The 15,466-nt window shown below is 48.7% G+C and overlaps 1 protein-coding gene across 1 annotated transcript in view; it reads right to left on the reverse strand.

Moving 5' to 3' along the window:
• DHRSX (dehydrogenase/reductase X-linked) overlaps positions 1-15,466 on the reverse strand; it is a 281,471-nt gene that overhangs the window by 251,431 nt on the left and 14,574 nt on the right. The gene's annotated exons all lie outside the window — the stretch shown is intronic.

Raw genomic sequence — 15,466 nt, forward strand, 5'->3', positions numbered from 1 at the left:
GCTTCAATGTTAATATGTTAATTAGCCTGATTATTAATATGTTAGTTAATGTGATTGTTAATATGGTAACTAGCTTGATTTAATCATTGCATGATGTGTACGTGGATTAAAACATCACGTTGTACCTCATATACGTGTATACAATTACTTTTTTTAACGAAAAATGAATTTTCCAGAAAAATGACTCGCATTTCCAGGCAGAAAACAAAACAAGTCCCAGTTTCAAGGACAGCTGTGACATATTTAACAGTGTTTCCTCTTAATTCAACACCCTTTATATGACCATGACCCAAGGGGCTCCAAGTTGCCAAGGAAAGGATTCCAGTTATGTGCTCAAGGTGTATCCACACTGGGCTGGGCGCGGTCACGCCTGTCATCCCAGCGCTTTGGGAGGCCGAGGTGGGTGGATCACCTGAGGTCACGAGTTCGAGAGCAGCCTGAACAATAGGCTGAAACCCCTTCTCTACTAAAAATTCAAAAATTAGCCGGGTGTGGTGGCAGGCACCTGCAATCCCAGCTACTCAGGAGACTGAGGCAGAATTGCTCAAACCCGGGAGATGTTGGCTGCAGTGAGCCGAGATTGAGCCATTGCACTGCAGCCTGGGCAACAAGAGCAAAACTCCATCTCAAAAAAAAAAAAAGACATTTACGTTGAGATTTCTACACTGTGAAAAAAGATCTGCAATAGGGCATCAGGCACCCCAAAGATTCCCAATGCTATTAACCAATCAAATCTACTAGGAAATTGCAATTGCAATCACTCCACAGTTTCCCGGAAAGGTGAACACCCCTCCAGTAGGAAGCATTCAGTGTTTTCATGCACATCGCTTCATCCATTTCTCAAAACAACGCCATGTAAACTGGATAAACAAAGGGTGGTGCATATACACTATGGAATACTACATACCCATGAAAAAGAATGGGATTGGTTGGGTGTGGTGGCTCACACCTATAATCTCAGCACTTTGGGAGGCCGTGGAGGGCAGATTAACTGAGGTCAGGAGTTCAAAACCAGCCTGGGCAACATGGAGAAACCCCGTCTCTACTAAAAATACAAAATTAGCCGGGCGTGGTGGCATGTGTCTGTAATCTCAGTTACTCAGAAGGCTGAGGCAGGACAACTGCTTGAACCCGGGAGCTGGTGGTAGCGGTGAGCCGAGATCACACCATTGCACTCCAGCCTGGGCAACAAAAAGGAAACTGTCTCAAAAAAAAAAAAAAAATGGGATGATGTCCTTTGCAGGAACATGCACGGAGGTGGAGGCCATTATCCTTAGCAAACTTACACAGGAACAGAAAACCAAATACCACCTGTTCCCACTGATAAGTGACAGCTAAACATTGGGCACTGGTGGATATAAAGAAGGGAACAGCTGCAGGGGCCTGCTGGAGGGTGGAGGGTGGGACAAATGAGAGGATCAAAAAACTACCTATCAGATGGTAGTAGGCTTACTACCTGGTTGATGAATTAATCTGTACACTAAACCCCCAGGACATGCAATTTACCCGTGTAATGAACCTGCACACGTGCCCCTGAACCTGAAAGTTTAAAAAGTAGGCCAGGAGCAGTGATTCATAATCCCAGCACTTTGGGAGGCCAAGATGGGTGGATCACTTGAGGCCAGGAGTTCGAGACCACCCTGACCAATATGGTGAAACCCTGTCACTACTAAAAATACAAAATCAGCCGAGCATGGTGGCGCATGCCTATAATCTCAGCTACCTTACAGGCTGAGATGGGAGAATCCTTGGAACCCGGGAGACGGAGGTTGCAGTGAACCCAGATCATACCATTGCACTCCAGCCTGGGCGACAAGAGTGCAAATCATCTCAAAAATAAATAAATAAATAAAACACTACATGTGCTGCTATTGGGAATATTTTACTGAATTTTTTTTAAGTCCTTTAAAATGTTAGGGTAGTGTCTTAGGAAATCAGGGATTTCCAAAGGCAGGACTTCACGTTGCCAACATGAGTGTGAGAAGGATTCCTTTCAGTGTAGAAGGTGCTTGCCTGCTCTGTGCTTCCAGAAATCCCCGAGACTTAATAAGGCACCTGGCTCCGTCACTGATCAAAGAATGGGTACCACAACTTACTGTCCACTGCAAAGCTCCATGGCACCTAGCTCTAGCCAGTTTGTTCACAGCCGTGATTAAGGTGCCCACAGCATCCTCACCAGCCTCAGGAACGTGGCACAGTCAGCTCGCCACAGGGGTGACCCCAGAAACAAGAGACAGGACTGTTACAGGGACAACACGTGGGACGCCAAAAACCAGAAACAAGAGACAGGAATATTGTAACAGGGACAAAGTCCAGACCACACGGAAGGTGGATGACTCATTTGTCACAGGTGGAAACAGTTTATCTGCGAGTTTGAAACCAGGTGGATCAAGAATGAAAGGCGCCGCCAGGCGCGGGGGCTCACGCCTGTCATCCTAACATTTTGGGAGGCCGAGGCGGATGGATCACCTGAAGTCAGGAGTTCGAGACCAGCATGACCAACATGAAGAAAACCCATCTCTACTAAAAATATAAAATTAGCCGGGCGTGGTGGCACATGCCTGTATTCCCAGCTACTCAGGAGACTGAGGCAGGAGAATTGCTCGAACCTGGGAGGCAGGGGTTACAGTGAGCCGAGATCCCTCCACTGCACTCCAGCCTGGGTGACAGGGTGACAGAGCAAGACTCCGTCTCAAAAAAAAAAAAAAGAATGAAAGGTGCACAGAGGCAGCCAGGACACAAGCCCCTTCCACCCCGGGCCCCGGAAATGCACAGACCACCTTCTAAGGTTTCTCTCCTGTCATCCTCCCAAGTCTACACGAATATAGAGAAACACACTAGAAGTCTCTGATAGGATGGGGGCATCTCCAGAAATCCAAAGATTCAGGTTCTGAATCTCTGATCTGGGTGGGGCTGGGGAGCTGCAGTGCCAGAAAGATAATGAAGCCTTGGCTGTGATTCAGACCATTTCTTGGTATCAAGCGTGTAGGGGAAGAAGGATGCGGACAGGGCAGGAGAAGGAATGAATGCGGTCAGCACGGTGGCTGGAGGATGTCTGGGATGGCGAGGTGCAGAGAGGAGCAGGCTGGCTGCGTCTCTCACTGTGCCTGGGATGGGCGGTGACAGAGGAAAGGGATTCCACATGAGAGTCAGAGACACCCAATGAAGAAACAAAAGCAGCTTACAGGGTGGAAAGGACACAGACACAGACACTCAGAAGAATGTGGCCAAGGGATCGCCACCGTGTACGAACTGAAGACGTTTTCTAAGAATGTGGACAAGGGACTGCCACTCCGTATGCACTGAAGAGGTTCCCAAAGCATGTGGCCAAGGGACCATCGCCATGTACACAATCAAGACAATCCCTAAGCATGTGATTAAGGGACTGCCACCATGTACACACTGAAGATGTTCCCTAAGAATGGGGCCAAGGGACCACTGCCATGTACACACTGAAGACGTTCCCTAAGTATGTGGCTAAGGGACCGCCCCCATGTACGCACTGAAGACATTCCCTAAGAATGCAGCCAAAAGACGGCACTGAAGACGCTCCCTAAGAATGTGGCCAAGGGACCACAACGGTGTACACACTGAAGCCATTCCTTAAGCATGTGGCCCAAGGGACTGCCACGCTGTGCATACTGAAGACGATCCCTAAGCTTGTGGCTAAGGGACGGCGGCCATCTACACACCAAAGACGTTCCCTAACAATGAGGCCAAGGGACCACTGCTGTGCACACACTGAAGATGTTCCCTAAGTGTGTGGCTAAGGGACCTCTGCCATGTACACACTGAAGACGTTCCCTAAGAATGCAGCTAAAAGATGGCACTGAAGACGTTCCCTAAGCATGTGGCCAAGAGACTGCCACCATATACACACTGAAGACGTTCCCTAAGCTTGTGGCTAAGGGACCGCCGCCATGTACACACTTAAGACGTTCCCTAAGAATGCGGCCAAGGGACCGCCACCATGTACACACTGAAGACGTTCCCTAAAAATGCAGGGAAGGGACAGCACTAAAGATGTTCCCTAGGCATGTGGCCAAGGGAATGCACTGAAGATGTTCCCTAAGCATGCAGCCAAAGAACTGCCACCATGTATACACTGAAGACATTCCCTAGGAATGTGGGTGAGGGACTGCTACCATGTGCACACTGAAGATGTTCCCTAAGAATGCAACCAAGGGACCACTGCTGTGTGCAGTGAAGACACTCCCTAAGTATGTGGCTAAGGGACCTCCGCCATGTGCACACTGAAGACATTCCCTAAGAATGCAGCTGGCACTGAAGACGTTCCCCTAGGCATAATGACCAAGGGACCCCACTGTATACAACTGAAGACGTTCCCTAAGCATGTGGCTAAGGGACTGCCACCAAGAACACAATGAAGACGTTCCCTAAGCATGCGGCTAAGGGAATGCCGACATGTACACACTGAAGAGGTTCCCTAAGAATGCGACCAAGGGACCGCCACCATGTACACACTGAAGACAGTCCCTAAGCATGTGGCACAAGGGACCGCCGCCCTGTGCACACTGAAGATGTTCCCTAACCATGGGGCCAACAGACTGCCACCGTGTACACACTGAAGACATTCCCTAAGCATGTGGCTAAGGGACCGCCGCCAGGTACACAATGAAGATGTTCCCTAGGCATGTGGCCAAGGGATCACACTCACTGAAGACGTTCCCTAAGCATACAGCCAAGGGACTGCCACCGTGTACACACTGAACACGTTCCCTAAGAATGTGGTTAAGGGACCGCCGCCATGTACACACTGAAGATGTTCCCTAAGAATGTGGCCAAGGGAATGCACTGAAGACCTTCCCTAATACAAAAGCTAAGACATTGTGGGTGTACCACACACTTCCTACAGCTGTGGGAAAATGAGGCTCTTCAGGGCACCTCCATGACTAGCCACAAACCCAGCTAGGAGAGCCACGGAAAGAATGGGGTGGTGTAACTGCAGTAATTACCAAGACATAATTCGATCTAATCGCCTTCTAAATAAATGGCTCCCTTAACTCTGCCCAGCCCACTTGATTCACACCAAGGAAGACGTCTTTAACATACAAAATCAGGCTGTGAGGAGTAAAACTTGGACAATGCCATTTCATCACAGCACAGAGCCACGGTGAGACCAGCACCTCTTATGGAAAGAAAACAGACAGCTGGCCGCCATGGCTCAGGCCTGTCATCCCAGCACTTTCGGAGTCCAAGGCAGGTGGATCACTTGAGGCCAGGAGTTTGAGACCGGCCAGGCCAACATGGTGAAACCCTGTCTCTACTAAAAACACACACACAAAAAAAAATTAGCCAGGCATGGTGGCAGATGCCTGTAATCCCAGCTACTCCAGAGGCTAACGCAGGAGAACTGCTTAAGCCCAGGAGATGTTGGCTGCAGTGAGCCAAGATTGAGCCATTGCACTCCAGCCTTGGCAACAAGAGAGAAACTCCATCTCAAAAAAAAAAAAAAGAAAGAAAAGAAAAGAAAACAGACATATTCATGCTGAGATATCTACACTGTGAAAAAAATATCTGTAATAGTGCATCAGGCACCCCAAAAATTCCCAATGCTCTTAATTAATCAAATCTACTAGGAAATTGCAATTGCAATGACTCCACAGTTTCCCAGGAGGCAAACACCATTCCAATAGAAAGCATTCACTGTTTTTATGCAAATCATTTCATCCATTCCTCAAAACAACGCCACGTAGACTGGATAAAGAAAAGGTGGTGTACATACACCACAGAATACTATGCATTCTTGAAAAAGAATGGGATTGACCAGGTGTGGAGACTCACACCTGTAATCCCAGCATTTTGGGAGGCCAAAGCAGGCGGATTACCTGAGGTCGGGAGTTCAAGACCAGCCTGGCCAACATGGAAAAACCCGTCTCTACTAAAAATACAAAATTAGCCGGGTGTGGTAGTGCATGCCTGTAATCCCAGCTACTTGAGAGGCTGAGGCAGGAGAATCCCTTGAACCTGGGAGACGGAGGCTGCAGTGAGCCGAGATCATACCACTGCACTCCAGCCTTGGCAACAGTAGCAAAACTCCATCTCGAAAACAAACAAACAAACAAAAAAACACCACATGTGCTGCTATTAGGAATATTTTACTAAATTTTTTGTAAGTCTTTTAAAATATTAGGGTAGTGTCTTAGGAAATCAGGGACTTCACGATGCCAACATGAGTGTGAGAAGGATTCCTTTCAATGTAGAAGCTGTTTCCCTGCTCTGGGCTTCCACAAATCCCCAAGACCTAATAAGACACCTGGCTCCGTCACTGATCAAAGAATGGGTACCACGACTTAGTGTCCACTGCAAAGCTCCATGGCACCTAGCTCTAGCCAGTTTGTTCACAGCCGTGATTAAGGTGCCCACAGCATCCTCACCAGCCTCAGGAACGTGGCACAGTCAGCTCGCCACACGGGTGACCCCAGAAACAACAGACAGGACTGTTACAGGGACAACATGTGGGATGCAAAAAACCAGAAACAAGAGACAGGAATATTGTAACAGGGACAAAGTCCAGACCACATGGAAGGTGGATGACTCATTTGTCACAGGTGGAAACAGTTTATCTGTGAGTTTAAAACCAGGTGGATCAAGAAAGAAAGGTGCGGCCAGGCGCGGGGGCTCACACCTGTCATCTCAACACTTTGGGAGGCCGAGGCGGATGGATCACCTGAGGTCAGGAGTTCGAGACCAACATGACCAACATGAAGAACACCCATCTCTACTAAAAATATAAAATTAGCCGAGCGTGGTGGCACATGCCTGTATTCCCAGCTACTCAGGAGACTGAGGCAGGAGAATTGCTCGAACCTGGGAGGCAGGGGTTACAGTGAGCCGAGATCCCTCCACTGCACTCCAGCCTGGGTGACAGGGTGACAGAGCAAGACTCCGTCTCAAAAAAAAAAAAAAGAATGAAAGGTGCACAGAGGCAGCCAGGACACAAGCCCCTTCCACCCCGGGCCCGGGAAATGCACAGACCACCTTCTAAGGTTTCTCTCCTGTCATCCTCCCAAGTCTACACGGATATAAAGAAACACACTAGAAGTCTCTGATAGGATGGGGGCATCTCCAGAAATCCGAAGATTCAGGTTCTGAATCTCTGATCTGGGTGGGGCTGGGGAGCTGCAGTTCCAGAAAGCAAATGAAGCCTTGGCTGTGATTCAGACCATTTCTTGGTATCAAACGTGTAGGGGAAGAAGGATGCGGACAGGGCAGGAGAAGGAATGAATGCGGTCAGCACGGTGGCTGGAGGATGTCTGGGATGGCGAGGTGCAGAGAGGAGCAGGCTGGCTGCGTCTCTCACTGTGCCTGGGATGGGCGGTGACAGAGGAAAGGGATTCCACATGAGAGTCACAGACACCCAGTGAAGAAGCAAAAGCAGCTTACAGGGTGGAAAGAACACAGACACAGACACTCAGAAGAATGTGGCAGGGACACATTCTGGCCAATGGACTGTCACCTTGTACAAACTGAAGACGTTTTCTAAGAATGTGGCCAAGGGATCACACTGAAGACGTTCCCTAAGAATGTGGCCAAGGGACTGCACTAAAGATGTTCTCTAAGCATGCGGCCAAGGGACCACCAGTGTGTACACATTGAAGAGGTTCCCTAAGAATATGGCTAAGAAACAGCACTGAAGACATTCCCTAAGCATGTGGTTGAGGGACCGCACTGAAGACGTTCCCTAAGAATGACACCAGGGGACTGCCACCGTGTATGCACTGAAGATATTCCCTAAGAATGTGGCCAAGGGACCAACCAGGGCTGTGACTGAAGACGTTCCCCAAGCGTGCGGCCAAGGGACCACCATTGTGTAGGCACTGACGACGTTCCCTTAGAATGTGGCCCGGGGACCACCACCATGTAAGAAGTGAAGACGCTCCCTAAGAATGTGGCCAAGGGACCACCACGGTGTACACACTGAAGACGTTCCCTAAGTATGTGGCTAAGGGACCACCGCCATGTACGCACTGAAGACGTTCCCTAAGAATGCAGCCAAGGCAAGGCACTGAAGACATTCCCTAGGCATGGGGCCAAGGGATGGCCACCATGTACACACTGAAGTCATTCCCTAAGCATGTAGCCCAAGGGACCACCACCGTGTGCACACTGAAGATGTTCCCTAAGCTTGTGGCTAAGGGACCACAGCCATGTACATACTGAAGATGTTCGCTAACAATGCAGCCAAAGGACTGCTGCCCTGTACACACTGAAGACGTTCCCTAAGCATGTGGCCCAAGGGACTCCCACCCTGTGCACACTGAAGATGATCCCTAAGCATGTGGCTAAGGGACCACCACCATGTACACACTGAAGACATTCCCTAAGCATGTGGCCCAAGGGACTCCCGCACTGTGCACACTGAAGATGATCCCTAAGCTTGTGGCTAAGGGACCTCCGCCACGTACACACTGAAGACATTCCCTAAGAATGTGGCCAAGGGACCACCACCATGTGCACACTGACGACATTCCGTAAGAATATGGCCCTGTGCACACTGAAGACATTCCCTAAGCATGTGGCTACGGGACCACCGTGTACGCACTGAAGACATTCCGTAAGAATGCGACCAGGGGACCGCCACATGTGCACACTGAAGACATTCCCTAAGAAAACGGCCAAGGGACGGCACTTAAGACGTTCCCTAAGCATGTGGCCCAAGGGACCACTGCCCTGTGCACACTGAAGATGTTCGCTAAGCATGTGGCTAAGGGACTGCCGCCATGTACACACTGAAGACATTCCCTAAGAATGTGGCCAAGGGACCGCCACAGTGTACACACTGAAGACGTTCTCTAAGAATGTGGCCAATGGACCACACTGTAGACGTTCCCTAAGCATGCAGCAAAGGGACTGCCACCGTGTACACACTGAAGACATTCCCTAAGAATGTGGCTATGGGACTGTCGCCATGTACACACTGAAGATGTTCCCTAAGCATGTGGCCAAGGGACGGACGCCATGGACACTGGGAAGACGTTCACTAAAGTCCAGAAACGGGCCTGCGAAACACCAAAGGAAAGAATGTTGTGCAGGATCCAGTCATCCCACCGCTTGGTGTGTGCCCAAAGGAAAGGAAATCAGCCCATCAATGGGATACCTGCACCCCCTGTGCACTGCCAACACTACTAACAGTTTCCAAGATATAGAATCAACCCATGTGTCAATCAACAGATGAGCGTATCAAGCAAATGTGGCATAGACACACAATGGAATAGTATGCAGCCATGAAAAAGGAAATCCTGCCATTTGCAGCAACATGGATGGGACTGGAAGATACAATGTGAAGTGAAATGAACCAGGCACAGAGAGACAAATACTGTATCATCTCGTATGTAGAATCTAAAAAAGCTGAACGCATAAACGCAGAGAGTGCAATGGTGGTTGCCAGGGAAGAATGCTTCATGAAGTGTTTGTCAAAGAACATAAAATTTCAGTTGGAGGCCAGGAGCGGTGGCTCATGTCTGGAATCACAATGCTATGGAAGGCTGAGGAAGGAGGATCACTGGAGGCCAAGAGTTTGAGACAAGCCTGGGCAACATAATGAAACCGCATCTTTAAAAAAAAAAAAAAAAATTAGCTGGGTATGGTAGCATGCACCTGCAGTCCCAGCTACTTGGGAGGCTGAGGCAGGAGGATCGCTTCAGCCCAGGAATTCAAGACCAGCCTGAGCAACATAGCAAGACCCCATCTCTGCAAAAAACTTAAAAAATTAACCAGGTGTGGTGGTGTGCACCTGTAGTCCCAGCTACCTGGGAGGCTGTGGTGGGAGGGTCACCTGAGCCAGGAGTTGGAGGCTGCCATGAGCTATGAACATGATGCTGCACTCCAGCCTGGGTGATAGGGTGAGACTGTCTCAAAAAAAATAAATTACATTAAAATTAAATTTTTCCAGTTAGATAGAAGAAATAAATTCAAAGTTCTACCACACCACACAGTGATTATCATTAATAATAATACATTGCGTTTTTCAAAATGACTAAAAGTAGATTTTACACATTCTCACCACAAAAAAAAGTAGGTGAGGTGATATAGGTCAGAGTTAGGATTATGTGAATATGTTAATTAGCTTGTTAATATGTTAATTAGCTTGAATGTTAATGTGTTAATTAGCTTGATTATTGATATGTTAATTAGGTTAATAATATGGTAACCAGCTTGATTTAATCATTGCACAATGTGTACTCGGATTAAAACATCACGTCGTACCTCCTATATATGTATACAATTATTTTCTATAAAATAATTCTATAAAGATAGCTCGCATTTCCAGGCAGAAAGCAAAACAAGTCCCAGTTTCGAGGACAGCTGTGACATATTTAATGGTGTCTCCTCTTAATTCAACAGTTTATATGACCATGACACAAGGGGCTCCAAGTTTCCAAGGAAAGGATTCCAGTTATGTGCTCAAGGTGTATCCACACTGGGCTGGTCGCGGTGGCTCACGCCTGTCATCCCAGCACTTTGGGAGGCTGAGGCGGGTGGATCACCTGAGGTCAGGAGTTCCAGACCAGCTTTACCAATGTACTGAAACCCCGTCTCTACGAAAAATATAAAAATTAGCTGGCTGTGGTGGCAGACACCTGTAATCCCAGCTACTCAGGAGGCTGAGACAGGAGAATGGCTTGAACCCAGGAGGCGGAGGTTTCTGTGAGCCGAGATCGTGCCATTGCACTCCAGCCTGGGCAACAAGAGTGAAACTGTCTTAAAAAAAAAAAATGGTATCCACACTGCAGCATGGACCAGAAGAGATGACCTTCCAGTGAGCACACGAGGTCGTCTCACAAAGCGGCGAGTGTTCCCAGTTATTACTCGGAGGGCTGGGCCTGCTCAGGAGGGTTGGTGAGATCAGGCTGTCCCCTAACACACACCATGGCAGGGCTCATCCTCCCGAGTACATGCAAACTGCACTGAGCCGGCTCCCCATGGAACTCCAAAAATAGCCCAGCTGGGAAGAAATGGAACGTTCTGGGGGACACTGATTTTCACATTGAAATTTCCTATCTTTTTAAATTTATTTTGGTTGAGACAGTCGCCCAGGCTATTGCCCAGCCTGGAGTGCAGTGGCATGATCGTAGTTTATGGCAGCCTCAGCCTCCTTGGGCTCAAGCGATCCTTCAGCCTCAGCCTCCCAAGTAGCTGTGACCACACACGTGTGCCACCACGTCTGGCTTTTTTTTTTTTTTTAGAGACAGCATCTCTCTCCTTGTTGCACAGGCTGGAGTGCAGTGGTGCGATCACATTTCACTGCAGCCTCCAACTCCCTGGCTCAAGTGATCCTCCCACCTCAGCCTCCTGTGTAACTGGGACTACAAATGCACACCTTATGTCCAGCTAATTTTTTTATTGTTACTAGAGACAAGGTCTCAGTATGTTGACCAGGCTGGTCTCAAACCCCTGAGTTCAAGTGATCCTACTGACTTAGCCTCCCAAAGTGCAGGTATTACAAGCATGAGCCACCACACCCAGCCTATTTTTATTTTATTTTTGTAGGCACAGGATCTCGCTGTTTGCCCAGGCTGATCTCAAACTCAGGCTCAAAAATCATCCTCCTGCCTCAGCCTCCCAAAGTGCTGGGATGACAGGTGTGAGCCATTGTGCCCGGTCTCATACCATTTTTGTATCATGAAACTTTATTATTCTTTGCATTTCTTTCCCTCAAGAATTTAAACATGTAAGAAGCAAACCAACACCTTTTAAAACCTAAACATAATTCTTAGCTTGTGGATACAGTTTTGGAAGCAATTTAAATTCTAGAAATCCTGCAGTAACTGCCTATTTGATACGTTCTCAGAGTTCCTGCCTTTCCAGTTAAACACAAATAAAATAGGAGTCCGGTGACCTCGAACACCCCAGGGTAAGAACGCACAAGCTAAAAGCCAGTTGGAGCCTGAATGTGAAAAGGCAATCATTCCTTCTGCATCAAAACATCTGCACCCACGGGTCCACCCGTCAGCCAAAAGCCACCTCAGCAATGCTACCAAAACAGGGAAAAGAAAGGCTACCCTCTTTCTTTCATGCAAGCCCTCTAAGATAACGCACAACCTACTAGCTCACGTAAATTAGGGCACAAAGAACCCAACTGAAATCCTGGCAGAACAAGCACAACTTCTGCTTAATCGTGAACTCATTTATTTATTTATTTAGAGACAGGGTCTCACTCTTTTGCCCAGGCTGCACGACAGTGATGCAATCTCAGCTCACTGCAGCCTCGACTTTCCGGGCTCCAGCGATCCTCCCACCTCAGTCTCCCAAGTAGCTGTGATCACACATGCGTGCCACCATGTTTGGCTAATTTTTATTATTATTATTATTATTTTTAGAGGCAGCATCTCTTGCTTTATTTTCCAGGCTGGAGTGCAGTGGTATGTTCACAGCTCACTGCAGCCTCCAACTCCCAAGCTCAAGTGATCCTCCCACCTTCGCCTCCTGAGTAGCTGGGACTGACTACAGACATGCGCCTCCATGCCTGGCTAATTTTTTGTATTTTTAGTAGGGATGAGGTTTGGCCATGTTGCCCAGGCTGGTCTCAAACTCCTGGGCTCAAGCGATCCGCCTGCCTCGGCCTCCCAAAGTGCTGGGATCACAGGCATGAGAGCCACTGCACCTGGCCATGCAGCTGTTTTAATCAGCAATTCTGAGAAGACACAAATGCCCCCCGGTTCTTTTGTGATAATATTAACACAGATTACTGAATTCCAGTGACAAAAACCTCACGTGTGTTACCTAAAGAAACACAGAGCCCAGAGTGTGCGATCTGAGCTGTTTCTCAAACCAGGACAAATAAGTGGATTCCAATTGGTGCCTCGAGAAAAAAAAGGGAAAAAGTGGCAAAAAAAAAAAAAAAAAAAAGTAGTTTCAACAAAGTCCAGCGGTTATTTTTGGAAGGCCCACTCACCAAGAACAGTGTTTACATTCGTACATTTTTTTTCTGAATTTCTTAATGGTTGGGGGAAAAAAAGAAGTCAACAGAGCAATAATATTTCTTGACACAACATTTATATAAAATTTAGTGCCCACGAAGTGGGAGTGGAATACACGGAGTCTCGCTCTTGTCGCCCAGGATGGAGCGCAGTGGCACGATCTTAGCTCACTACAACCTCCGCCTCCCTGGTTCACGCGATTCTCCTGCCTCAGCCTCAGTACCTGGGATTACAGGTGCCCACCACCATGCCCAGCTAATGTTTGTATTTTTAGTAGAGATGGGGTTTCACCATGTTGGCCAGGCTGGTCTTGAACTCCTGACCTCAGGCGATCCACCCGCCTCGGCCTCCCAAAGTGCTGGGATGACAGATGTGAGCCACCACACCCAGCAATGGATGCTTTTAGACACAACGGCAAAACTAAGTTGTTGAGAGACAGAGAATGCATGGTCCGCGGAGCCAAAAATATTTCCTCTCTGACCCCTTAAAGTTGACACCATCAGGGTACTCATGCCAAGGACCTCCCGCATCTGACTGCAACACAAAAGGACAGGCAGCCGCAGCTAGGAAGGAGCCTGGCTGCAAAGCCCTGAAACCCGAAAGCTTCCCAGAAGTTGCTCAGAAAGGAACTCATGCAGTTTGAGAAAATCTGGAAGAAACGAGCCAAACCCTGCTGTTTTCGTCGTCTGAAGAAATGAGCAAAACACTGCCGTTTTGCTGCAGACGGTCCTGTGAGAGTTTGCATTCTCTGTTCACCAGGCAGGGGCATGGCGAGTTCATTTTATAAAACTCTCAGGTGAGCCCCACGATTTGACGGAGCAGAAATCACTGGGAAAGGACGGGGCGGCGGGCCTGAGATCACAGAGGGGAAAACAGTAGAACTGCTGCCCAAGCACATCTGAGACTCGCAGAAGGCGCAGGAAGATGGTCGGAACAAAAGCAGGAGCTGGCTGCGCCAGGAACCCGGTCTCTGGGCCTCCTCTGCACTCACGAGCAAATGAACGTCACCACCGAGATTTCGGCACCCCAGAAACAGCCCAACCGGCTCCTTCCCACCAGCTGCCTCTTTACTAAAACATCCGAAACCTTTTTCTCACTTTCCCCAAGCTGTTTTCCTCACCCTTCAGAGGCCTGCTGGGAAAACAGTTCGAAGCAGGCAATTCTGCAAAGTGGGGGGGAAACAAAAACAACCAGCTCAGAGTTAGGGCTGTGCAGCCAGATGCAAGCGTGAAAACAAAACCGAACCGAAAAATCCCACCACTGTGCGGAAGGAGTGCCACACAGGCTGGGATGAGAACCGTCGGGGTTAGGGAAATGTCTCTGTAAGAAACCCTCAAGGACTAGAATTACTCCTAATGGGAAAAACGTGTAAACATGTCCCACTTAAATGAACATCACGATGCAAATGCTTAGTTATGAGGACTGAAAATGAACCCCTTTCAACCCAAAACGTGCAAGAAAGAGAAATTTCGGCATTTTAATGATGCCCAAGGACAGGCAGTCAACCAACAGCACTTGGAAAGGGCAAGTCTGGGCAGAGGTGCACATCCCGGCCTTCCTGTGTTTCTTGGGGGCCATTGTTTTCTCAGGAGGGAGGAAAAGAGGGAGGGAGGAAGGAAAAAGGGATGGAAGGAAAACGAAAGAGGAAGGGAGGGAGGGAGAAAAGGGAGGGAGGGACAGAGGGAGGGAGGAAAGGAAGGAAGGAGGAAGGGAGGGAGACAGGGAGGGACAGAGGGAAGGAAGGAGGGAGGGAGGAGAGGGAAGGAGGGAGGGAGGGATGGGGGAAGGAGGGAGGGGAGGAAAGGGAGGCAGAGAGGGAGGGGAGGGAGGGAACGGAGAGAAGGAAGGGAGAAAAGGGAGAGAAGGGAGGGAAGGAAGGGAGAGAAGGAAGGAAGGGAGAAAAGGGAGAGAAGGGAGAGAAGGAAGGAAGGGAGAGAAGGAAGGAAGGGAGAGAAGGAAGGAAGGGAGAGAAAGAAAGAAGGGAAGGGAGGGAAGGAAGGGAGAGAAGAAGAGACAAGGATGGGAGGGAAGGAAGGAAGGAAAGAAGGAAGAAAGGAAGGATTTGTTGGCTGAAGAAGAGAGGGAGGGTTGGACGGAAGGAGGAGGGAAGGAAGAGACCATGTGAGAGGAGGTGAGGAAGACAGGAAGAGAGGGGTGATAAGGAGGCTGGGGGGAGAGGGAAGGCGCTGATGCCATCCGGATCCATCCAGGCTGCCTCGTCCATGGGGCCTCCGTTTATACAACTATCCACTAAGTGAAGGAACCGGCAAAAATCTCTGCTCCCGGGGAACACTTTCACCAGCTGCCGGCTTTATTCACTCAGAAATTTTGATGCCAAAACACCCGAAAGTACATCATAACTTGAGGATTTACAGACAAGAAAGAGGAGCACAGAACTGACCGTGGGTGCCCTGGAAAAAGTTGCTTTCAACAAGGACCACAACAAAAATAAAAATAATAATAATGATAAACCTCCCTCCACTCCCAGGATCAAGGGGTTCAGACAAACTGCAGTCCAGACG

This window comes from Homo sapiens, chromosome Y (assembly GCF_000001405.40).
Source record: "Homo sapiens chromosome Y, GRCh38.p14 Primary Assembly".
NCBI lineage: Eukaryota > Metazoa > Chordata > Mammalia > Primates > Hominidae > Homo > Homo sapiens.